General features: G+C 42.1%; 1 protein-coding gene across 2 annotated transcripts in view, besides 4 other annotated features; it reads left to right on the plus strand.

The window, feature by feature from the left end:
• The window catches only part of PLEK (pleckstrin), a 32,172-nt gene extending 17,971 nt beyond the window's left edge, over window positions 1–14,201 (plus strand). The window contains exons 5-9 of one of the 2 annotated variants that reach the window (NM_002664.3): window positions 3,250–3,434; window positions 5,135–5,239; window positions 9,910–9,993; window positions 10,855–10,924; window positions 12,428–14,201. In NM_002664.3, the coding sequence (NP_002655.2) occupies window positions 3,250–3,434; window positions 5,135–5,239; window positions 9,910–9,993; window positions 10,855–10,924; window positions 12,428–12,564 (581 nt within the window). In that variant the 3' untranslated portion in view covers window positions 12,565–14,201. The remainder of the gene's footprint in view (window positions 1–3,249; window positions 3,435–5,134; window positions 5,240–9,909; window positions 9,994–10,854; window positions 10,925–12,427) is intronic. The other variant, XM_047444772.1, reaches the window with a different exon arrangement.
• Window positions 4,024–4,203: an enhancer, noted in NCBI's record as "active region_15950". NCBI's record gives its function as "activates an Ori minimal core promoter by ATAC-STARR-seq in GM12878 lymphoblastoid cells {active_cell/tissue: GM12878}" and the evidence as "EXISTENCE:reporter gene assay evidence [ECO:0000049][PMID:35858748]".
• Window positions 4,224–4,643: an enhancer, noted in NCBI's record as "active region_15951". NCBI's record gives its function as "activates an Ori minimal core promoter by ATAC-STARR-seq in GM12878 lymphoblastoid cells {active_cell/tissue: GM12878}" and the evidence as "EXISTENCE:reporter gene assay evidence [ECO:0000049][PMID:35858748]".
• Window positions 5,894–5,943: an enhancer, noted in NCBI's record as "active region_15952". NCBI's record gives its function as "activates an Ori minimal core promoter by ATAC-STARR-seq in GM12878 lymphoblastoid cells {active_cell/tissue: GM12878}" and the evidence as "EXISTENCE:reporter gene assay evidence [ECO:0000049][PMID:35858748]".
• Window positions 21,908–21,957: a silencer, noted in NCBI's record as "silent region_11590". NCBI's record gives its function as "represses an Ori minimal core promoter by ATAC-STARR-seq in GM12878 lymphoblastoid cells {active_cell/tissue: GM12878}" and the evidence as "EXISTENCE:reporter gene assay evidence [ECO:0000049][PMID:35858748]".

Here is a 26,108-nt window from a genome sequence, read left to right on the forward strand (position 1 = left end):
GAGTAGTGCCTGGCACACACTCAGTGCTATATGGTGCAAGCTCAAGTGGTTATTGTGTTTTAAGTGGTCACATGTCTGTACAACCAATTCCAGGGGTTCAAAAAAAGAGAAAGAACTCAGGGGTTGATGGGATGAATAGGAGGTGGTACCCAAATTTGACCCTGAAAGATGGGTAGAATTTCATTAAATATTTACAGGAGGATTTTTAATGAGGAGCCAGGGCAGAGGATGAGCAGAGGATGGGCCAGGGCAGAGGATGAGCAGAGGATGGGCCAGGGCAGAGGATGAGCAGAGGATGGGCAAAGGATGGTGAGGACAAAGTTATGAGGCAGACATGTGCAGAATATGCATCTAGAAAAAGAAACTGACCAGCCTAGTAGGGCTGACGGTTCATCAGGGGGAGCAAAATGGGATGTACAATTTGGTACTAAGTTTGTCAGATACCAGGCCTGGCTTTCTTATGGTGACAGGAGAGATCAAAGGAAGAAAACTCTGAGCTGATACAGCAAATGTGGAATCTAAGAGGATGTGCCATCAACAGATAATCCATGAAATTGGTCCAGGTCAGGATCAGCAAGGCTAAGGGGAAAAGGCTTTGATCACTGACGATGAGATAGTCCCCCGTGGGAATAAGCCTCAGAGTCAAGGCAGCAGCCCAGCATCAGACAAGGCAGGGCTGAGATTTGGGATCAAGACACCAAGCTGTGGGTGGTGGTATGAGAAAGTGACAAGAACAAGGGAAGTTCCCAACTCTATCAGGACCGAGGTCACTGCAACAGCCTTGGGCAAAGGGAACAGGAGGGCATTTCAATGTAGACTTGGGCACCCAATCCAGGTCAGACTGATTTCCACTGTAATGTGTTACTGAGTCCCAGACTATTGGGCTGGTTTTTTTCTTCTTGTTCTCCTTCTCCTTCTCCTTCTCCTTCTCCTTCTCCTTCTCCTTCTCCTCCTTCTTCCTCTTGTTCTTATTCTTCTTTTCTCCTTTTTCCTCTTCCTCTTCTTTTTATTTGAGACGGAGTTTCACTTTTGTTGTTCAGGCTCACTGCAACCTCTGCCGCCCGGGTTCAAGCGTGATTCTCGTGCCTCAGCCTCCTGAGGAGCTGGGATTACAGATGTGCACCACCATGCCTGGCTAATTTTTGTATTTTTAGTAGATTCGGGGTTTCACCATGTTGGCCAGACTGGTCTCAAACTTCCAACCTCAGGTGATCTGCCTGCCTTGGCCTCTCAAAGTGGCCTGTAATCCCTAAGATTACAGGTGGGCTAGTACTTCTTAAATCCTTCTTGTTGAAGGCCAGGGTGGGTTTTGGACATTTCTATGGGTAGAGCCTTCATGGGGGAGTCAGGTGGCCTCGGCTGGGAGATGAAGGCTGTAGCAGAGACTGGGACCCAGCAGTACTGACACATGATGGAAGACCTTAAATGTCCGATGACAGGCAGACTAGACCAAACTTGTCTTTCAAGCTTCAGCATGCCTCACTGAGTGAGCGTGGATGCAAGGGTTAGAACACTTAAAAGTGACAGCCCAGAGCAGTTGTAACTTTGGCCTAAGATCACTCAGATTCCCTGAGCCTTAATTTTCTTATCCTTAAAATGAGGACTGCAATTACCACCCTGCCTCTTTCACAGGCTGCTATGAAGATAAAAAGAAGAAATGCAGTGTCACTTAGTTTATCTTTGTAGAGAAAGAAAAGTGAGCAAAAGCCTTTCATACATGAAATTCATGGAAGGCTCGCTATCCAACTGCTGTCACTCCTGTTTTGAGGGTGGCATCCCTACTGCTTTTGCCCGGATGACAGGACAGGCAGGCTGTCATGTTGACTCCCTTGTTGGCTACATTTGTAAGGAACACACTGCTTTTTATTTTTATCTTTTTTAATTGACACATAATAGTACGTATTTATGGGGCACAATTAATGTTCTGATACACATATACATTGTGCAGTGATCAAATCGTGGTAACTAGTGTATCCATCACCTCAAATATCTATCTTTTTTTGTTGTAAGAACAAACATGCTGTTTTTAATACAAAGCTTCATTGTAACCTGCTAATAATCCAATGTATGGGTCAATTTCATTTTCTTCTCTTTGCAATCATCTCTTGACCAGAAGATTGCTTAAATGACTTCTCAAGGTCCCTGCTAGACTCTGCAAAGTCATGACAATCAGTGCAGGTGATGTCATCAAATTTTAATTTAGGACATATATCCATCACATTATTTCCTATTTAAAAACTTAAAATGATTTCCCATTAGCCAAATTTCTTACTGTGCCATCAAAGCTCTCCCCACCCACCCTTCACCTCCCTCCTCCTCTTATTTCCTTTTGCCTTCTTTCCACCAACTCCTCCCCTGCCCCATGGGGCTGCTTTATGCCTGAGTGCATCTGTTCACACTGCTGCCCCCTCAGCTTGTGCTGGTTCCTCTGCATCCTGCTTCATATGCTTGGCAAACGCCTACTCATATTTTAAGCCTCTGCCCAGTGTCACTTCCTCTATGAATCTTTTCCTGATGGTGATGCACAGCCCTCTTCTCTCACCTCCTTCACCTCTTTCACACCTTCAGATTTGACCCAGTAGTCTCGCAACTGACTTATAGCAGAGCACTTGTTACAAGACTTATTTATTACACCCATCATGCCCTTTTACACTCCTTGAGGGAATTTCTCCAACACCCAGTAGAGTACCTAGCATCGAGTAGGTGCTCAGTAAATGTTTGTTCATCAATGGGATAAGTGAGTGGGTTAGTAAAACCTATTTCTTTGATGCATGTGTTGCTTTTTTTTAAGACAAAGACTTTATTTTTTTATTTTTAAAGTTATTATTTTTTTATTTTATTTTTGTTTTTATTTATTTATTTTTTATTATACTTTAAGTTTTAGGGTACATATTTTTTGAGATGGAGTCTTGTTATGTTGCCTGGGCTGGTCTTGAACTCCTGGGCTCAACTATCCTACTGCCTCAGCTTCCAGAGTAGCTGGGACAACAGGTGTGCCACCATACCTGGTCATGTGTTTCTTCTTAAGCAGCATGTAGATGTTCTTAAAAACCCTTTACATAGTTTTTTGTTTGTTTGTTTGTTTCTAGTGGGTATCTATCCCACTTATTTTGTTTTCTCTTTCTTGAAATAACAGGGGAGACGAGACAAGTCAGACCTGTGGGTGAGCTGGAGTCAGTTCAGGGGTGATTGTCAGGGGCTTGTTCTTCGGTAAGGAGAGTTAACCTTCCCTGTGCTGGTCCCATCTAGGTAACTGCGTCATTGATTGGCTGGTATCCAACCAGTCTGTTAGGAATCGCCAGGAAGGCCTCATGATTGCTTCATCGCTGCTCAATGAGGGGTATCTGCAGCCTGCTGGAGACATGTCCAAGAGTGCAGTGGATGGAACTGCTGAAAACCCTTTCCTGGACAACCCTGATGCCTTCTACTACTTTGTAAGAAAAGCTCCCCATCTCTTCTTCCTGTAAGGGAGGCTGCCCTGAGCAGATTCTAGATTGATTTCAGTTCATAGACATCTATAGAGCGCTGTTAGGCAGCGGGTAGGGAGGTCAGCCAGGAAGAACAAGGGAATACCTGAAGCTCCCAGGCCCATTTAGAGCTTCTGTTATACCAGCATTTCCCAACTCAACAGCTGCCCTCTCTACAACACTCGCCCTGTCCAAGTGAATTTGTTATTATAAAAGGATACTACTGTTTACTTGAAAAAAAATTTTTAAAGGACATTTTAAAGTTTATTGTTTCCTATTTACTTATTATTATTTTTTATTTATTTAGATGTAGTCTTGCTCTGTCACCCAGGCTGGAGTGCAGTGGTGTCATCTCGGCTCACTGCAACCTCCGCCTCCCGGGTTCAAGCGATTTTCCTGTCTCAGCTTCCCGAGTAGCTAGGATTACAGGCATGCGCCACCACACTCAGCTAATTTTCGTATTTTTAGTAAAGACAGCGTTTCACCATGTTGGCCAGGCTGGTCTCGAACTCCTGACCTCAAGTGATCCACCTGCCTCTGCCTCCCAACTATCTATTCTTATTCTAAGCAATAATTCATTTATAAAACTGTCTTAGACCCTAGTCCATGGCAAGCATTCTCTAAGACAAGAAGATACAGCCACGTAGACAAGCGTACTGGAGGGACAGGCAAAAATCCTGCCCTACTGCAGCTTCCTTTCCAGACAGGAGTCTATAAATCACAGGTTTGATGTATTAAGTGCATTATTCCAAATGTATGTTAAAACACATGACTCTTAATACAAAATGTGTCCACAGATGTCACTTCCTGCAGTCATCTTGTGTACCTCCCACAGTATGCTTACCCACGATTGGGAAACACTATATTATACAATGTGAACCTGTTCTTAGGCCATGTGAGCAATGGTGGATTTCTTGGGGGATTTTGGCAGTTTTGTTTCTATCTTGGATCAGAGCACAGAATTTAGGAAGTTACCTAAGAGAACCATTCTTCTTATAAACATGAAGTGAACACCCTAGAGGGTTTCATTTCACTTTAGGGGAAGTTCCACAGTCTGTTTTTTTTTTTTCTTCAGTCCTTTGATCTGGTCGTTTATAGCCATTTCAATGCAGGATTCTAAAAATACCCATCACAGTGGCTCCTCTTCCTCGGTCTGATTCATCATCTACTTTTGCTGAGCAAGTCCCACTTCCCTCATAACCTCAGGGGAAGAGGCTGGACACATGCTGTCACTTTTCTCCAAGAGGGGGCTCAGTGGCAAATGTTGAGCTGGTGATAGTATTGCCAATGAGAAATTAGCCTGCCCTGCTTTCAAGGATGTGACCATGATATCCCAAGAGAAGGAAGGCTTTGAAGGCAGACATGTGCCTGGTTAGGAAGATGGAGCTAAAGTTAGGATACAGCTTGGGAGACCCTCCAGAATAAAAGGATATTGACAAGATCACACCTGAGTGGAGACAAGAAAGGAACAGCCCCGGAAGCAAGTAAAAGGAGGAGGAGAAACTCGCTCATCAAGGACCTTTGAAGTTCAGATTGGGATGTACACAGGAATGGAGGAAAAAGGAGGAGGCTGCCCTCATGGCTGGAGGGGAGGGGGAATGGAGATGGCACAAGTTGCAATGTGCCTAAGACTGGTGATGTTAGCTTGCTGTTTGATTTTCCAACAGCCAGACAGTGGGTTCTTCTGTGAAGAGAATTCCAGTGATGATGATGTGATTCTGAAAGAAGAATTCAGAGGGGTCATTATCAAGCAGGGATGTTTACTGAAGCAGGTGAGTGGCCACAACTGCTCCCATCTAGCCTTTTCCCTTTACAAGGTCCTTTTTGTTTCTAAGTTACCCAGTGACTTTTGGTTTGTTTGGTTAATAGTCAAGCAGAAAATGAAACCCACAAAGTGAAAGATAGATGAGTAGCTCTTTAGATATCAAAGTGGCTTTAGATCAGGAAGATTGAGTTTGACAGGGCAGAAGATGTCCCTAAAAGTAGGAAAATGCCTCTTTTATCAATATCATAGGAAAAAAAAAGGTGTTTCAAGAAAAATATGGCCGGAGGAGATAAATTGTCTAAGAGATGCCATCCAAAAGACAAAGCTGTCTCATGGTAAAAGTACTTCCATTTTACCTGTCCCTCCTCCCTTCAAAGCAACCAGGAAAACAGGAACAGGCTACACCCAGAAGAGGAACAGAGTACACCACTGAGAGCAAAGAAGAGTCATTCCAGTCTGTGCTTAGGGCATGACAAGACCAAAACCTGGGCATGCAGAGGCCAGTTCACAGGAACAGCAGGCAAAAGTCAAATGCAGATTGAGGGCATGGACAGAGTCCTGGGGGGATGTCCAGGTGTCCACAGGTACAGGCCACCATCAGTCTTGGAGGCAAGGGCTGGAGAGTGCTGAGGAGCTCTAGTCGGTTACCAGGTGCCAAGGCATATGATGCCAAGAGGTAAGAGATGGACAGGGGCCAAGATGACTGAGGAAGCCAGGACCAGTACCTGGTGGAGGAAGTCGCAGGAAGACATGAGAATATTCAGGGGGAAGCTAGTTGATACTTGCACAAGGCATCTTAGAGGCCAAGGCTGCTTTGCAGGACCAAGGTCTTGCCTTCCTGGCTGCACTGTGAGCTGCCTTAAAAGTGCTGCTCAGTATATAATGGAGAGAATCTGTTGCCATCAGGAGATTTCCATGTACTGTCTATAGGCTCCACGGGACTGGGGGATCTGATTTATTTCATGTTAGGACCCTGAATGTCCATCTTAGTGATTAATGGAATGGGCAAGGAGGGAAGAACCAGAGAAGAGCCCATATTTACATTTATAAAGAGGGACTCTGGGCTGGGATAGCTGAAAGGAGGTATAGGTATGGATTTTGAGTTTCACAGGGGGAAGTGGGACATTCGAATGGAAAAATTACCTTCATATCAGGTTTTAAGAGAACAGTGTCCTAAGAAATATATGGCAAGAATTTATAAAGAATTCATGGACTATTATAGTATTTTTTTATGACAGGGTGACCAGCTGGCTAGATTAAAAGAAAGGCATGGGGCAGAGCCAGCCTTATGCCGGGAAGGCTCGGGCAGTTGCCTACGGACAGTTTGCCCGCTGCTGCTTTCTCGTTGGTTTTGCCAAATATTCCTATGTTCCTGGCTCTTTGATTGCAGGTGCTGGAATGTGGCTGTTAAGACAAGAAGAGTAACTTGGGAGGAAATTTCTTTATTTTGTTGATTTCTTCCATAATTCTATATTGTTATCAGTTATTTCTTGAATTAGTTGATTGGGCAAACCCTAATCTAGAATGGGGCTCTTGGAAAGCCAAGGATGAAGGCTAACAGTAGATAAAGTTGGGACTGGACTGGAGCCACGTCTCAGTGAAGCAGCCCAGTAGGAGACCTGGGATGGTCAAAAATTGTGTGTGGGTAATGAGTGTCTGGATGTATTTTGAAGACAATAGGGACAAGGATTGAACTTATGTGTTTTCCTTTGCCTTCCTTTGTCTGGCCTTTGATAGGTACAATTTAGCCTTAGCTAGCTCGGTTGGTGCACATTTGGATCTCCCAGGGAACTGTTAAAACTGCATGCCAGGCCAATTTAATCAGAGCCTCTGGATTTTTACAGCTCCCAAGTGATTCTGATGTGCAGCCAAAGCTGAGAACCACTGAGCCAGCCTTTTTCTTAAAAGCTAATTTATTCTATTATCAGTATACAAGTTAAATAGTCTTTCTTAGAAGCTTCCTTTTTATGTGAAGAAAACAGAAATCTACGTGCATTCAGGAATTTTGTTCTTTTACAATATTCTTTCCTCTGAATTTTTTTTCAGAGGTTGGGGAGCAAAAACCTCTTCGATTTGAATTGACACTTCCCCTTAATGTTTCTAATCTCTTAGCTCAGTGGTTAGTAACCATAGTTTACATCAAAATCACCCAAGGGATTTTCAGAATTTTAAAAACTTTTTCTTAAAATTCCAAAAGTAAGCCTCCCTTGTGTTTACTGCTGGGAGTTAGCCAGGATTAACTTCATAGAAGGCTTGTTATAATGGGAAGCCTCACAGATGGGAAGTAGCTGTGGCTAACTGGAGGCCATTATCCCTGCCCCATTATTTTCTCATCCCAGGATAAATAATCCTACTTGGCAGCAAGTTTGAGGATGAATGATCTTAGATTATATTCAGTATAATCCCTTTTTACATAATTGTTTCTGTTATGACAATGAATAAAGCATCTGCTTGTTTAATTCTCAACCACATTTAGATTCCTTGAGGGAGAGGAACAATGTGTTATATATGCTTCTCTTGTATCTGCTGCAGAGTTCAGCATCCTTCTTGATTTATCATAGGCAATGAACACTTGGGGAGCTAATTAAGTCAAATATAAGTAGATGGCTTTGACAGTTCAGTAACAATTCTTGGAAACCTGAGGCATACATGCATTTCTTAATACTCCTTAGAAAATGCTCATTAAGTGAAAGATGACCAGAAATGTACCTGCTAACTTCCAACTCTTCAACACGTCACATTGTGATGTCAGTGAGGGCTTAAAGGGAATATGGTGGTTGGCTGATTTCACATCCTCCTGTTACCTTCCTCTTCCATTGGCTCATAATAAGTTGGTGATTGTCCAGCAATTGCATAATACAGCATGACATGTGTGTCTGTCAGTGAAGAGGAAATGGTATGGGGTGGCAACTTTAGTGTCGTTATTCTGAAGGGCAACATTAGTTAAGGCAAAGAGCAGCAATGTATACTTTTGGAAGTCTATGCTTTGCAAAAGCCATTTTGGACATGATATAGCAGGTAGGAATATTTTCTGTCCTTGCATATGACTCTGCAGGGGTTCCAGCTCCATCCTTCAGGAAGTAGAAAGTTCTTTGGAAGTGAGTTCCTTCACCAAATGTTTTGCCAAAAAACTTAGGCCCATTTCTGAAAGCTTCCTTGAAGCACCTCTGGATTTATGAAGGAGGCACTGTTTGCTAAGACCACACATGTTTTATTGCTTTCAGCACAAGTAAAATGAAAAATGTTGGAAAATTTGTATACATGCTTGCCAATATGTGGTGCTTTAGAAATTACAAATAATATTTCTTGTATTGGCAAGATAGAAACTCCGTATCTTTTAATATAATACTATTTTTGGCTTCTGGAGTTAAGTCATTTGAATTTCCTGTGGGAAATCATAGAGTCAGGTTTACCATGACAGTTTAAAATCTGCTACACACTAATGGAAATAACTTGGTAACTCACAGCAAGTACAAACAGATATGAAGCAGCTGCTATATGCCAGGCACTGTGGCCCTGGGAAACAAAGATAAGCAAGACACAAATCCTGCCCTTAAAACTCAGTCTAGACAATGTCAGTGTTTAATTCTGTTGGGAAAGGCCAAGTCGTCACCTTCTTTCTTCTTCTTCTTTCTTTCTTCCTTCCTCTTTCCTTCCTCCTACCTTCCTCCCCCTTTTCTCCTCCTCCTCCTTCTTCTTCTTCTTCTTTCTCCTCCTCCTCCTCTTCCGCCTCTTCTTCTTCCTTCATCATGTCTGTTACAGCAACAGGCATTTCCATTCCTACTGCAGCTACCTAAGGTTTAGTTCCTAATGATTTTATGCCTGGATTATTGTGATCCTTCCCTAATGAATTCTTTTTTACTTACCATCTTTTCCTGGGCTTTCCTTTAATCTAGCCAGCTGGTCCATCCTGCACTTTGTCACCATATTAATCTTCTTAAAATGTAATTGTAATTCTTTCACTTCCTACTCAAAAGCCATCAACAACAAACCCTGCCTTTTATTTCCACTAAATCTCTGTCCACTTTTCCCACCTTGCCTCTGCTACTCTTCATGAACCCTACATTCTAGCCAGACTGGTCTTATTCATCAACACCTGAGTATGTCTCTTGCATTCCCACTTCTGCTCTTGTGTTGTCAGTTGTCCTCCTACCCACCTTTGTCTTGCCCATCTAAATCCTGTGTCCCACATGGATAAGTGCAGGTCTTTATGAGGCTTTCTTTGATATCCAAAGCCCACAATTACATATTCCCTACTTAATGCCTTTGGAATCCATTATCTATACCAATTATTTGATTTGGGCATTTGCTACTTTATATTTCAACATAGGTCATAAACTCTTTAAAGATCAGGGCATCTTAAACCTCTTTATTCCCCCTACATTACCTAACACAGCACATTGTACCTAGTACTGCCTTATATCATACTAAAACTGGAAGACAATAATTAGAAATAATTTAATCCACCTCTTCGATCTAATAACATCCATATTATTTATTGGCTGTAGCACTATCTCCCTGACAAAGACCTAGGCCGGGATATTGTTATCCTGGAGTTAGTATTTCATTTTCTCTTTCTTTTCTCAATTCAGCAAATAATTATTCTGTAGGTATTGTTTGTACAGAGTGATGCTGGGAATTCACCATCCCTTCTTTTAATGTTGATCCTGGATACAGGGGCATAGAAGGAAAAACTGGAAAGTGAGGAAGTTCATCTTGAGAGAAGACCCTGCCTACCTGCACTACTATGACCCTGCTGGGGTAAGGTCCTGTGGTTCATAAATCCATTCAAATAAATAAATCCACTGCATTTATAATCTGGGCTTCCTATTCCCCTCTCTACTCTGTTGATATCCCCTTTTTCTCTTTACTGGCCCACTTTTTTTTCTCCCATTCTCCTCTACCTTTTTCTATCCCCTTTCAATGCAAAGATCTGAGATCTTGGGCCTCTGAGGTCAGTATAAGCTTAGGGATGGAACAAAATATCACTATATTATAATTTATTTGGTCAACTCAACATATTTTTCCCCAATCTGATATTTTCAGGGGAATTAAATCAGTCCATGGTTTAATATGCATAAAGGTGATAATTCCTCATCCAGGTCAACTTGGATGAGGGTATTGTTTAAGTCCAGCAATTTGGGCTGTTGATTGTCGAAGAGGACTTTTTCCACCATAAAATGAACCACTTTTAAAGCATGAAGACAACTCTGGGTAGGGTGCTCACCCTCCGCTTGCAGCACTGGGCTATTTGACTTCCCCTGGGTGGTTATATTGCTGCATCAGGTGCATGGGACCAAAGAGCTCTGGAAACATGTAGCTCTTTTTTAGTGGGATACAGTGACCTCAGTGTCTCCACCTCTCCTGTCACTTTTCTCCAGATTGAAGTCCAGATCGTCTTGCATTTTCTCATTGAGCCTCCTGGCCCCACTGAAGCAGGGTGTGGAGGATCTGGAAGGACCTTAGATCTGTCAGCAGTTTTTCTTTAATCTCCTTCTGCTCTTACTTATTTTGGGGGGCCCTGATCTATATTAGAGTGAGTCTGGCTTTTTCACCAAGAGGATGAGGTCTATCTATACTCTGCATTTTGGAAACATAATGAACAACTCCTTTCTTCTTTAGGCAGAAGATCCCCTGGGAGCAATTCACTTGAGAGGCTGTGTGGTGACTTCAGTGGAGAGCAACTCAAATGGTAAGATGAATTTCTGTGTGAGAGAGGTGGGTCTGCTCAGACTCCCCTCCCACACCTGGACATCCTGGGCCAACATTAATCAATCAATCAATTAATCAGGATAAGCAGGAATGGGGCAGGCATGGTGGCTCCCACCTGTAATCCCGGCACTTTGGGAGGCCGAGGAGGGCAGATCACTTGTGATCAGGATTTCGAGACCAGCCTGGCTAACGTGGTGAAACCCCATCTCTACTAAAAATACAAAAATTAGCTGGGCATGGTGGCACATGCCTGTGAATTGTTTGAGCTTGGCAAGTTGCAATGAGCTGAGATTGTGCTACTGCACTCCAGCCTGGGTGACAGAGCAATACTCTGTCTCAAAAAAAAAAGCAGGAATGAATTTACTGTCTGAAAACCTTGGAGAAACCAGAGTTATTTTTTGTCTCCCAACTGCTGTCCAGGCTCTCCAGGCCTTGGGGAGTTGGATGGCTTTGTGGATGCCTCAAGCAAGTCCCTGAGCAATGCTGGGAAAACTCTATCACTTCACAATGGCTGAGAAGAAGAGCAGTGAGGGGGTTGCACTAGAGGACCCCAGACCACAAGGCTATGATTTGGTGCATGGAATAACCACGTGGGTGTAGTTTGACTTCTCAGGTGCTGAGGACAAATTGTATCTCTGGGGTGATGTGGTTTTGACATCCCAAACCCTGGTTTTGTCCTGACATTTTGGTTTGTAGTATGATAAAGGCTGACAGGAAAACATCATAACTGCAAATGCCTAGAGTTTTACTGTGCCTGAATTTGCCCACCTCCACTCCCACCACCTAGAATTATACTTTGGTTTTAGGGCAGGGAGCATGCTGGTTCTTTATTTGATTTGTGATGTTTTAAATCTTGTCACAGTATTGGCCAGGTTATTGCCTTTTAGTCTTCAGCAGAACTCTGACTTAGTGCTTGATGAAAAACAGTTCAGGCTATAACTTGTGGTACTGTTGGTAGGTCTGGCTTTGTGTATGTATATAAACATATATATATATACACACACACATCTGTATTATAAATATAAATATATAAATATATATTATAAATACAAATCTATATTAACAGAAAGACAGATAGATAGGTAGATATCAGGAGCAACCCTTGATTTATATTATGAGCAGAGGGAAGGTACCCATTAGAAACTATTAGAGGTTACTCATTAAACGCTGTTGCTATACAAAGGTGAGAAATTTAGTTTGCCTGTAAACTATGAAAGAAAATGTTTCTCCTTAAGTGTTTTACCTATTTCTTAAAAATATATATATACACACAGTCATACTATGTATCTACTCTATCAATACTATGTATATAACTGTGCAATGAATTATCCTATAATCATACCTTGTTTGTATGTTTGAAAGCCACATAGTCAATTTCCTTAGAACACGAAGAAAACAGAGATTTCATGGCTTGCAGAGGAGGGTGGAGCAAGTGGTCTTTCTGATGCCTGTGCGTGCTGCCATTTGCCTTCTCTTTCCCCAGGCAGGAAGAGTGAGGAAGAGAACCTTTTTGAGATCATCACAGCAGATGAAGTGCACTATTTCTTGCAAGCAGCCACCCCCAAGGAGCGCACAGAGTGGATCAGAGCCATCCAGATGGCCTCCCGAACTGGGAAGTAAAGAGACTCCTGCATTCCTCCTCCCCTCCTGAGGGAAGCCCATGGACAAGCTCAGTCCAGGACCTGTCCACTTCTGTGACAAATCAACGGGAAACAGCCCAGGGGTGGGAAGTTTTCATTTGCAGGGGGGTCTGAATGTAACTCACCATGTGGTGTGCAAGGTTCCCCTGCATTGTATTGCTCACTGCAGCCCCTCTGCCCCTATCCATGACCCCCAAGCAGATATAACAAGCTGTGCAGCCTCAGTAGGCTGCTTGCCCTCTCCAGGCCTCAGGGCCTCTTCTGGAAAATGAAGAAATTCAACTAGTAGATTCCTGAGGTCCCCCTAGCTTAAAAAAAAAAAAAATCTGCCCCATGATTCTAACACTCGCAGTAGTGATAGTGTATCTAGTTGTTCTGCTGGTGTCCTTCCTTGGCTAAGTCTTGGCCTTCAGTTATCTTCAAATGTACCAGAACCTGAGCCAACGCCTCCCTGTGAAACTGTTGCTGATCTGTAGTACAGTACCAGGAAGAAACCTCTTTTGTTCTCTTTAGACATCTTCTACTTGCTCTTGGCCTTGAGATCGTGTAACAAAATGAAGGAGGGCTCTCTTCTTTCTTCCTCATCCTACTCAAAAACTTCCCGAGAGCAGTGGTGGTTTTGAGGGTTTTGACTTCTATTACTTTTGGCAGCCTGGAAAGTTGTGTCTTCTGGGAAAGAGACCTGGGGAGGCCAGGAGTAGCTGAGGGTCCTTTCTGTGCCCTTAAACCGCCCAGAGGAGCCCTATTCCACTCTGGTTTTAGGCTGATCTGAGAGGGTCTCCCTTTGTTCCTTTCTGGAGCATTTCTCTAACGTTTATTACAATTAGGAGGGGGACCCCACATCTGTGAGATTCTGTTTCATTTGAGGTTTACAGAAAAAAAAAAGTGGCCAGATGTGTTCCCCCCATGGGTGAGAGGCCTGGGCAACTGCCTGGTGAATGTGTCTTGCGGCAGCTGCAGCAAGTGGAGGGGCTGAACTACTGGCCAGCTCACTGGATGATGGGTTAATACAACAACTGCACTGTAAGGACTCAGAGCCACACAGAACTTCTGAGAGGGGCTGTTAGCATTGCGCAGCATCTTCAGTTCTCCAGTAAATGATATTGCGTTCGTGCCTCAGCTTTAAGCACAAGTAGCAGCAGCTCCTGCTTGAGTTCTGAGGGCATCATGGCCCTATGATTAACCAGAGTGATCTAACCTAGACTAAAATTGGGAACTTATTTGCAATTTTTGACCCTGACCACTAACTAGTGATTCTTCTCCAAAATTGAGAAAGACAGCACCCATTGAAGCAGATATGTGTGTGAAAGTATATTTTTCAATTCCAGATTTTTAATTTTAAGGCTCCAGGAAAGAAAGGAGAGTAGAACATTTTTCCTCATTTTATCAAATCCTCTCTTGCCCTCCCTCAATTCCCCTGTAACATTCCTGAAGCTGTTCCCACTCCCAGATGGTTTTATCAATAGCCTAGAGGTAAAGAACTGTCTTTTTCTCTGATTCTTTAATAAATTATCTTTATAGAATATGCACAAGTTTTTCTACACTCAGTGTTAAAGTATTTATTAATGGGAAGTCAACTTAATGTTTTGAAATAAATATATGACTCTGTTTAATGCATTTTTGGTGTGATGACTCTGTTTTGCCTCCTATTGATAACTCTCCCCTCTGGCCGGGCACGGTGGCTCATGCCTGTAATCCCAATATTTGAGAGGCCAAGGCGGGTGGATCACTTGAGGTCAGGAGTTCGAGATCAGCCTGGCCAACATGGTGAAACACTGTCTCTACTAAAAAAAAACAAAACAAACAAACAAACAAATAACTCTCCTTTCTTACAACTCAGTTTTATTTACTAAGGGTAACACTATCTTTTATTTTTCATCATCTCAATAGCTTTATGATTTTTAAAATTTATTTTATGTTAAGTTCTGGGGTACATGTGCACAACATGCAGGTTTGTTACATAGGTACACATGTGAATTGTTGGTTTGCTGCACCCATCAACTTGTCATTTACATTAGGTATTTCTCCTGATGCTATCCCTCCCCCAGTCCGCCACCCCCTAACAGGCTCCAGTGTGTGATTTTCTCCTCCCCGTGTCCATGTGTTCTCATTGTTTAACTCCCACTTATGAGTGAGAACATGAGGCGTTTGGTTTTCTCTTCTTGTGTTAGTTTGCTGAGAATGATGGTTTGCAGCTTAATCCATGTTCCTGCAAAGGACATGAACTCATCCTTTTTTATGGCTGCATAGTATTCTATGGTGTATATGTGCCACATTTTCTTTATCCAGTCTATCATTGATGGGGATTTGGGTTGGTTCCAACACTTTGCTATTGTGAAGAGTGCTGCAATAAACATATGTGTGCATGTGTCTTTATAGTAGAATTATTTATAATTCCTTGGGTATATACCCAGTCATAAGATTGCTTTGTCAAATGGTATTTCTAGTTCTACATCCATGAGGAATCACCACACTGTCTTCCACAGTGGTTGAACTAATTTATACTCCCACCAACAGTGTAAAAGCATTCCTATTTCTCCACATCCTCTCCAGCATCTGTTGTTTCCTGACTTTTTAATGATCAACATTCTAACTGGGGTGAGATGGTATCACATTGTGGTTTTGATTTGTGTTTCTCTAATAACCAGTGATGATGCGCATTTTTTCATAAGTTTGTTGGCTGCATAAATGTCTTCTTTTGAGAAGTGTCTGTTCATGTCCTTCACCCATTTTTTGATGGGGTTGTTGTTTTTTTTCTTGTAAATTTGTTTACGTTCTTTGTAGATTTTGGATATTAGCCCTTTGTCAGATAGATAGATTGCAAAAATTTTCTCCCCATCTGTAGGTTGCCTGTTCACTCTGATGATAGTTTCTTTTGCTGTGCAGAAGCTCCTTAGTTTAATTAGATCCCATTTGTCTATTTTGGCTTCTGTTGCCATTGCTTTTGGTGTTTTAGTCATGAAGTCTTAGCCCATGCCTATGTCCTGAATGGTATTGCCTAGGTTTTCTTCTAGGGTTTCTATGGTTTTATGTCTTATGTTTAAGTGTTTAATCCATCTTGAGTTAATTTTTGTATAAGATGTAAGGAAGGGATCCAGTTTCAGCTTTTTGCCTATGGCTAGTCAGTTTGCCCAGCACCATTTATAAAATAGGGAATCCTTTTCCCATTGCTTGTTTTTGTCAGGTTTGTCAAAGATCAGATGGTTGTAGATGTGTGGCATTATTTCTGAGGCCTCTATTCTGTTCCGTTGGTCTATATATCTGCTTCAGTAACAGTACCATGCTGTTTTGGTTACTGTAGCCTTGTAGCACAGTTTGAAGTCAGGTAGTGTGATGCCTCCAGCTTTGTTCTTTTTGCTTAGGATTGTCTTGGCTATGCAGGCTCTTTTTTGGTTCCATATGAAATTTAAAGTAGTTTTTCCAATTCTGTGAAGAAAGTCGGTGGTAGCTTGATGGGGATAGCATTGAATCTATAAATTACTTTGGGCAGTATGGCCATTTTCATGATATCAATTCTTCCTATCCATGAGCATGGAATGTTCTTCCATTTGTTTGTGTCCTCTGTTATTTCCTTGAGCAGTGGTTTGTAGTTCTCCTTGAAGAGGTCCTTTACATCCCTTGTAAGTTGTATTCCTAGGTGTTTCATTCACTTTGTAGACTTTTTGAATGGGAGTTCACTCATGATTTGACTCTCCGTTTGTCTGTTATTGGTGTATAGGAATGCTTGTGACATTTGCACATTGATTTTGTATCCTGAGACTTTGCTGAAGTTGCTTATCAGCTTAAGGAGATTTTGGGCTGAGACTATGGGGTTTTCTAAATATACAATCATGTCATCTGCTAACAGAGACAATTTGACTTCCTCTCTTCCTATTTGAATACCCTTTATTTCTTTCTCTTGCCCGATTGCCCTGGCCAGATCTTCCAACACTATGTTGAATCAGAGTGGTGAGAGAGGGCATCCTTGTCTTTGCTGGTTTTCAAAGGGAAATCTTCCAGCTTTTGTCCATTCAGTAAGATACTGGCTGTGAGTTTGTCACAAATAGCTCTTGTTATTTTGAGATGTGTTCCTTCAATACCTAGTTTATTGAGGGTTTTTAGCATGAAGGCTGTTGAATTTTATCAAAAGCCTTTTCTGCATCTATTGAGATAATTATGTGGTTTTTGTCATTGGTTCTGTTTATGTGATGGATTATGTTAATTGATTTGCGTATATTGAACCAGCCTTGCATCTCAGGGATAAAGCCAACCTGATCGTGTTGGATAAGCTTTTTGATGTGCTGCTGGATTCAGTTTGCCGGTATTTTTTTTGAGGATTTTCGAATTGATGTTCATCAGGAACATTGGCCTAAAATTTTCGTTTTTTTTGTGTGTCTCTGCCAGGTTTTGGTATCAGGATGATGCTGGCCTCATGAAATGAGTTAAGGAGGATTCCCTCTTTTTCTATTGATTGGAATAGTTTCAGAAGGAATAGTACCAGCTCCTCTTTGTACCTCTGGTAGAATTCAGCTGTGAATCCATCTGGTCCTAGACTTTTTTTGGTTGGTAGGCTATTAGTTATTGCCTCAATTACACAACCTGTTATTGGTCTATTCAGAGATTTGACTTCTTCCTGGTTTAGTCTTGGGAGGGTGTATTTGTCCAGGAATTTATCCATTTCTTCCAGATTTTCTAGTTTATTTGCATAGAGTTGTGTACAGTATTCTCTGATTGTAGTTTGTATTTCTGTGGGATCAGTGGTGATATCCCCTTTACCATTTTTATTGCGTCTATTTGATTCTTCTCTCTTTTCTTCTTTATTAGTCTGGCTAGTGGTCTATCTATTTTGTTGATCTTTTCAAAAAATCAGGTCCTGGATTCACTGATTTTTTGAAGGGTTCTTTGTGTCTCTATCTCCTTCAGTTCTGCTCTGATCTTAGTTATTTTTTGCCTCCTGCTAGCTTTTAAATTTGTTTGTTGTTGCTTCTCTAGTTCTTTTAATTGTGATGTTAGGGTGTCAATTTTAGATCTTTCCTGATTTCTCTTGTGGGCATTTAGTGCTATCAATTTTCCTCTAAACACTGCTTTAGCTGTGTCCCAGAGATGTTGATACATTGTGACTTTGTTCTCATTGGTTTCAAATAACTTATTTCTGCCTTCATTTTGTTATTTACCCAGTAGTCATGCAGGAGCAGATTGCTCAGTTTCCATGTAGTTGTGTGGTTTTGAGTGAGTTTCTTAATCCTGAGTTCTAATTTGATTGCACTGTGGTCTGAGCAACTGTTTGTTATCATTTCCATTCTTTTGCATTTGCTGAGGAGTGTTTTACTTCAACTATGTGGTCAATTTTAGAATAAGTGTGATGTGGTGCTGAGAAGAACGTATATTCTGCTAATTTGGGGTGGAGAGTTCTGTAGATGTCTATTAGGTCTGCTTGGTCCAAAGCTGAGTTCAAGTCCTGGATATCCTTAGTAATTTTCTGTCTCATTGATCTGTCTAATACTGACAATGGGGTGTTAAGGTCTCCCACCATTATTGTGTGGGAGTCTAAGTCTCTTTATAGGTCTCTAAGAACTTGCTTTATGAATCTGGGTGCTCCTGTATTGGGTGCATATATATTTAGGATAGTTAGCTCTTCTTGTTGCATTGATCCCTTTACCATTATATGATGCCCTTCTTTTTCTCTTTTGATCTTTGTTGGTTTAAAGTCTGTTTTATTAGAGACTAGGATTGCAACCTCTGCTTTTTCTTTTCTTTCCATTTGCTTGGTAAATCTTCCTGCATCTCTTTCTTTTGAGCCTATGTGTGTCTTTGCAGGTGAGATGGGTCTCCTGAATACAGCACATTGATGGGTCTTGACTCTTTATCCAATTTGCCAGTCTGTGTCTTTTAATTGGGGGCATTTAGCCCATTTACATTTAAGGTTAATATTGTTATGTGTGAATTTGATCCTGTCATTATGATGCTAGCTGATTATTTTGCCTGTTAGTTGATGCAGTTTCTTCATAGCATTGATGGTCTTTACAATTTGGCATGTTTTTGCAGTGGCTGGTACCGGTTGTTCCTTTCCATGTTTAGTGCTTCCTTCAGGAGCTCATGTAAGGCAAACCTGGTGGTGACAAAATCTCTCAGCATTTGCTTGTCTGTAAAGGCTTTTATTTCTTCTTCTCTTATGAAACTTAGTTTGGCTGGACATGAAATTCTGGGTTGAAAATTCTTTTCTTTAAGAATGTTGAATATTGGCCCCCACTCTCTTCTGGCTTGCAGGGTTTCTGCAGAGAGATCAGCTGTTAGTCTGATGGGCCTCCCCTTGTGGGTAACCCAACCTTTCTCTCTGGCTGCCCTTAACATTTATTCCTTCATTTCAACCTTTGTGAATCTGATGATTATGTTTCTTGGGGTTGCTCTTCTCAAGGAATATCTTTGTGGTGTTCTCTGTATTTCCTGAATTTGAATGTTGGCCTGCCTTGCTAGGTTAGGGAAGTTCTCCTGAATAATATCCTGGAGAATGTTTTTCCAACTTGGTTCCATTTTCCCCATCAGTTTCAGGTACACCAATCAAACGCTGATTTGGTCTTTTCACATAGTCCCATATTTCTTGGAGGCTTTGGTCATTCTTTTTCACTCTTTCTTCTCTAATTTTGTCTTCTCACTTTATTTCATTAAGTTGGTTTTCAATCACTGATATCCTTTCTTCCTCTTGATCGATTCAGCTATTGATATTTGTGTATGCTTCACAAAGTTCTTGTGCTGTGTTTTTCAGCCTTATCAGTTCATTTATGTTCTTCTCTAAACTGGTTATTCTAGTTAGCAATTTGTCTAACCTTTTTTCAAGGTTCTTAGCTTCCTTGCATTAGGTTAGAACATGCTCCTGTAGCTCAGATGAGTTTGTTATTATCCACCTTGTGAAGCCCACTTCTGTCAATTCGTCAAACTCATTATGCATCCAATTTTTTTCCCCTTGCTGGCGAGGATTTGTGATCCTTTGGAGGAGAAGAGACATTCTGGTTTTTGGAATTTTCACCTTTCTGTGCTTGTTTCTCCCCATCTTTGTGGTTTTATCTACCTTTGGTTTTTGATGGTGACCTACAGATGGTGTGGATGTCCTTTTTGTTGATGTTGATGCTATTCCTTTCTGTTTGTTAGTTTTCCTTCTAACAGTCAGGCCTCTCAGCTGCAGGTCTGTTGGTGTTTGCTGGAGGTCCACTCCTGACCTTTTTTGCCTGAGTACCACCAGCGGAAGCTGCAGAACTGCAAATATTGCTGTCTGATCCTTCCTCTGGAAGTTTGCCCCAGAGGGGCACCCACCAGATGCCAGCCAGAGCTCTCCTGTATGAGGTGTCTGTTGGCCCCTGTGGAAGGTGTCTCCCAGTCAGGCTACACGAGTGTCAGGGATCCACTTGAAGAGGCAGTCTGCCCGTTATCAGAGCTCAAATGCTGTGCTGGGAGAACAACTGCTCTCTTCAGAGGTGTCAGGCAGGGACGTTTAGGTCTGCTGAAGCAGTGCCCACAGCTGCCCCTTCCCTCAGCTGCTCTGTCCCAGGGAGATGGGGGTTTTATCTGTAAGTCCCTGACTGGGGCCTCTGGCTTTTGCTCAGAGATATGCTGCCCACAGAGGTGGAACCTAGAGAGGCAGTCAGCCTTGCTGAGCTGTGGTGAACTCCACCCAGTTCAAACTTCCCAGAGGCTTTGTTTACACTGTGAGCATAAAACCACCTACTCAAGCCTCAGCAATGGCTGACACCCCTCTCCCTGCCAAGCTCCAGCTTCCTAGGTTGGTCTCAGACTGCTGCGCTAGCAGCGAGAATTTCAAGCCAATGGATCTTAGCTTGCTGGCTCCATGGGCATGGGACCCACAGAGCCAGGCACTGGAGGGAATCTCCTGTTCAATCTACGGTTGTGAAGACCTTGGGAAAAGTGCAATAACTGGGCAGGAGTGTACCATTCCTCCCAGTACAATCTCTCATGGCTTCCCTTAGCTAGGAAAGAGAAATCTCCCAACTCCTTGCATTTCCTGGGTGAGGCGATGCCCCACCCAGCTTCAGCTCACCCTCCATGGGCTGCACCCACTGTCCAACCAGTCCCATTGAGATGAACAAGTTACCTCAGTTGGAAATACAGGAATCACTAGTCTTCTGTGTCGATCTCGCTGGGAGCTGCAGACCGGAGCTGTTCCTATTCAGCCATCTTGCCAGAAATCCCCGCTTTTTAAAACAAAATCTATTCTAAGGGATAATAAAAATATAGGAAAAGCATATCTTTACTTTCTTAAGAAAGTAGGCTTAAGAAATAGGAAGATTTATGGACAGTCTTCATCACTGATTTTTAATTTACAAGATCTTGATTACAACGATTAGGCAAAAAAAAATCCAATAAAGATATAAAAACTACTTACATTAGGGGAAAAGAAGTTTCCTACTGAACGGCTGCCATGTATGTTTGAGCAGAATGTACACCACTGTGTAAGTCCAGAGGGCACTATTCACATTGTAACCTAGGTAACTGTTGTCCCTTGGGGCTTGCATTACACAGTTTGCATATCTGTACACAGTAGCCTGACAAGTAATCAAAGAATCATTAAGGCTTCCTAACATGGGCAATTGATTCTTCCTGGTAGAATGAAAGTGTCACTTGTCAAAGTGGATATTTAAAGGATAGGTATAGATGTTTTTGTCTGAGCCTCTTTGGCTGAGAAATCAAGCTTAGGCCCTCCCATACATAGTACTAGGATAATCCACATGGGTCTGAACCCCAGAGTGACAGACTTTATCCCCAGTGATGTGAAGGAAGCCGTATACAAACTGTCAAATGCATTAGAAGAAGACTTAAAGCTGAAAAGAAAGGATGGTTAGCATTTACTCAGGATTCCAGTTTAAAGCAGGGGAAAAACAAATTATAAAATAATCAATTGTGGAGGTATTAAGAAAGTTTATGTAAAAGAGGAAAATGTCTTTTGCATCATGTGACTGATAATAAGTCAGAAAAATAAAGATTTCAATCTGAAAAATTTAACATGCTTTGGGAAAAATAGAAGTAGGAATGTAAGGTGAGAATCTTACAGATGGCTGAAAATATAGTACTAGAAGTGACTGGCAAGATGGCCGAATAGGAACAGCTTCCATCTGCAGCTCACAGAGAGATCAACGCAGAAGGCAGGTGATTTCTGGATTTCCACTGAGGTATTCTGCTTATCTCACTGGGACTGGTTAGACAGTGGGTGCAGCCCACAGAAGGCAAGCCGAAGCAGTGTGGGGTGTGGCCTCACCTGGGAAGCGCAAGGGGTTGGGGAACTCCCTCCCCTAACCAAGGGAAGCCGTGAGAGACTGTGCCGTGAGGGACGGTGCACTCCTGCCAGATACTATGCTTTTCCAACAGTCTTTGCAACCCGCAGACCAGGAGATTCCCTCGAGTGCCTATGCCACCAGGTCCGTGGGTTTCAAGTACAAAACTGGGTAGCCATTTGGACAGACACCGAGCTAGCTGCAAGGAGTTTTTTCTCATACACCAGTGGCACCTGGAATGTCAGTGAGAACCCTTCACTCCCCTGGAAAGGGGGCTGAAGCCAGGGAGCCAAGTGATGTAGCTCAGCGGATCCCACCTCCACAGAGCCCCACAAGCTAAGACGTACTGGCTTGAAATTCTCACTGCCAGCACAGCAGTCTGAAGTTGACCTGGGATGCTCAAGCTGGGTGGGGAAAGGGGCGTCTGCCAGTACAAAGGCTTGAGTAGGCAGTTTTCCCCTCACTTTAAACAAAGCCTCTGGGAAGTTCGGACTGGGCAGAGCCCTCTGCAGCTCTGCAAAGCCACTGTAGCGAGACTGCCTCTCGAGATGCCTCCGCTCTGGGCAGGGCACCTCTGAAAGAAAGGTAGCAGCCCCAGTCAGGGGCTTATAGATAAAACTCCCATCTCCATGGGAAAGAGCACCTGGGTGAAGAGGTGGCTGTGGGCACAGTTTCAGCAAACTGAAACGTTCCTGCCTGCAAGCGCTGAAGAGAGCAGCAGATCTCCCAGCACAGTGCTCAAGCTCTGCTAAGGGACAGACTGCCTCCTCAAGTGGGTCCCTGCCCCCCTGTGCCTCCTGACTGGGAGACACCTTCCATCAGGGGTTGACAGACTTCATATGGGACAACTCCAGCTGGCATCTGGCAGGTGCCCCTCTAGGGCAATGCTTCCAGAGGAAGAAACAGGCAGCAATCTTTCTTGTTCTGCAGCCTCTGCTGGTGAGACCCAGGCAAAGAGGGTCTGGAGTGGACCTCCAGCGAACTCCAGCAGACCTGCAGCAGAGGGGCCTGACTGTTAGAAGGAAAACTAACAAACAGAAAGGAATAGCATCAACATCAAATAAAAAGGACGTCCACACAGAAACCCCATCCGAAGGTCACCAACATCAAAGGCCAAAGGTAGATAAATCCATGAAGATGAGGAAAAACCAGCACAAAAGGCTGAAAATTCCAAAAATCAGAATGCCTCTTCTCCTCCAAAGGATCACAAATCCTCACCAGCAAGGGAAAAAAACAGGATGGAGAATGAGTTTGATGAATTGACAGAGGCAAGCTTCAGAAGGTGGGTAATAACAAACTCATCCGAGCTAAAGGAGCATGTTCTAACCCAATGCAAGGAAGCTAAGAACCTTGAAAAAAGGTTAGATGAATTGCTAGCTAGAATAACCAGTTTAGAGAAGAAATAAATGACATGATGGAGCTGAAAAACACAGCACAAGAACTTTGTGAAGCATACACAAGTATCAATAGCCAAATCGATCAAGCAGAAGAAAGGATAGCAGAGATTAAAGATAAAATTAATGAAATAAAGTGTGAAGACAAGATTAGGGAGAAAAGAATGAAAAGGAATGAACAAAGCCTCCAAGAAATATGGGACTATGTGAAAAGACCAAACCTATGTTTGATTGGTGTACCTGGAAGTGACAGGGAGAATGGAACCAGATTGGAAAACACTCTTCAGGATATTATCCAGGACAACTTCCCCAACCTAGCAAGACAGGCCAACATTCAAATTCAGGAAATACAGAGACCTCCACAAAGATACTCCTTGAGAAGAGCAACCCCAAGACATATAATCATCAGATTGACCAAGGTTGAAATGAAGGAAAAAATGTTAAGGGCAGCCAGAGAGAAAGGTCAGGTTACCCACAAATGGAAGCCCATCAAACTAACAGCTGATCTCTCTGCAGAAACCCTGCAAGCCAGAAGAGAGTGGGGGCCAATATTCGACATTCTTAAATAAAAGAATTTTCAACCCAGAATTTCATGTCCAGCCAAACTAAGTTTCATAAGAGAAGAAGAAATAAAATCCTTTACAGACAAGCAAATGCTTAGAGATTTTGTCACCATCAGGACTGCCTTACAAGAGCTCCTGAAGGAAGCACTATGTAAACATGGAAAGGAACAACCGGTACCAGCCACTGCAAAAACATGCCAAATTGTAAAGACTATCAATGCTATGAAGAAAGTGCATAACTAATGGGAAAATAATCAGCTAGCATCATAATGACAGGATCAAATTCACACATAACAATATTAACCTTAAATGTAAATGGGCTAAATGCTCCCAATTTAAAGACACAGACTGGCAAATTGGATAAAGAGTCAAGACCCATCAATGTGCTGTATTCAGGAGACCCATCTCACCTGCAAAGACACATATAGGCTCAAAAGAAAGAGATGCAGGAAAATTTACCAAGCAAATGGAAAGAAAAAATAAAAAGCAGTGGTTGCAATCCTAGTCCCTGATAAAACAGACTTTAAACCAACAAAGATCAAAAGAGAAAAAGAAGGGCATTATATAATGGTAAAGGGATCAATGCAACAAGAAGAGCTAACTGTCCTAAATATATATGCACCCAATACAGGAGCACCCAGATTCATAAAGCAAGTTCTTAGAGACCTACAAAGAGACTTAGACTCCCACACAATAATAGTGGGAGACTTTAACACCCCACTGTCAATATTAGAAAGAATATTGAGACAGAAAATTACTAAGGATATCCAGGACTTGAACTCAGCTTTGGACCAAGCAGACCTAATAGACATCTACAGAACTCTCCACCCCAAATTAGCAGAATATACATTCTTGTCAGCACTACATCACACTTATTCTAAAATTGACCACATAATTGGAAGGAAAACACTCCTCAGCAAATGCAAAAGAATGGAAATGATAACAAACAGTTGCTCAGACCACAGTGCAATCAAATTAGAACTCAGGATTAAGAAACTCACTCAAAACCACACAACTACATGGAAACTGAGCAATCTGCTCCTGCATGACTACTGGGTAAATAACAAAATGAAGGCAGAAATAAGTTATTTGAAACCAATGAGAACAAAGTCACAATGTATCAACATCTCTGGGACACAGCTAAAGCAGTGTTTAGAGGAAAATTGATAGCACTAAATGCCCACAAGAGAAATCAGGAAAGATCTAAAATTGACACCCTAACATCACAATTAAAAGAACTAGAGAAGCAACAGCAAACAAATTTAAAAGCTAGCAGAAGGCAAGAAATAACTAAGATCAGAGCAGAACTGAAGGAGATAGAGACAGTGAATCCAGGACGTGATTTTTTGAAAAGATCAACAAAATAGATAGACAACTAGCCAGACTAGTAAAGAAGAAAAGAGAGAAGACTCAAATAGATGCAATAAAAAATGATAAAGGGGATATCACCACTGGTCCCACAGAAATACAAACTACAATCAGAGAATACTGTACACACCTCTATGCAAATAAACTAGAAAATCTGGAAGAAATGGATAAATTCCTGGACCAATACACCCTCCCAAGACTAAACCAGGAAGAAGTCAAATCTCTGAATAGACCAATAACACGTTGTGTAATTGAGGCAATAATTAATAGCCTACCAACCAAAAAAAGTCTAGGACCAGATGGATTCACAGCTGAATTCTACCAGAGGTACAAAGAGGAGCTGGTACCATTCCTTCTGAAACTATTCCAATAAATAGAAAAAGAGGGAATCCTCCCTAACTCATTTCATGAAGCCAGCATCATCCTGATACCAAAACCTGGCAAAGACACAACAAAAAATGAAAATTTTAGGCCAGTATCCCTGATGAACATCAATTTGAAAATCCTCAAAAAAAATACTGGCAAACTGAATCCAGCAGCACATCAAAAATCTTATCCACCATGATCAAGTTGGCTTTATCCCTGCGATGCAAGGCTGGTTCAACATATGCAAATAAATAAATGTAATCCATCACATAAACAGAACCAATGACAAAAACCACATAATTATCTCAATAGATGCAGAAAAGGCCTTTGATAAAATTCAACAGCCCTTCATGCTAAAAACTCTCAATAAACTAGGTATTGAAGGAACGTATCTCAAAATAGTAAGAGCCATTTATGACAAACCCACAGCCCATATCATACTAAATGAGCAAAAGATGGAAGCATTGCCTTTGAAAACCAGCAAAGACAAGGATGCGCTCTCTCACCACTCTGATTCAACATAGTATTGGAAGATCTGGCCAGGGAAATCAGGCCAGAGAAAGAAATAAAGGT

Source organism: Homo sapiens, chromosome 2 (genome assembly GCF_000001405.40).
Source record: "Homo sapiens chromosome 2, GRCh38.p14 Primary Assembly".
Classification (NCBI taxonomy): domain Eukaryota; kingdom Metazoa; phylum Chordata; class Mammalia; order Primates; family Hominidae; genus Homo; species Homo sapiens.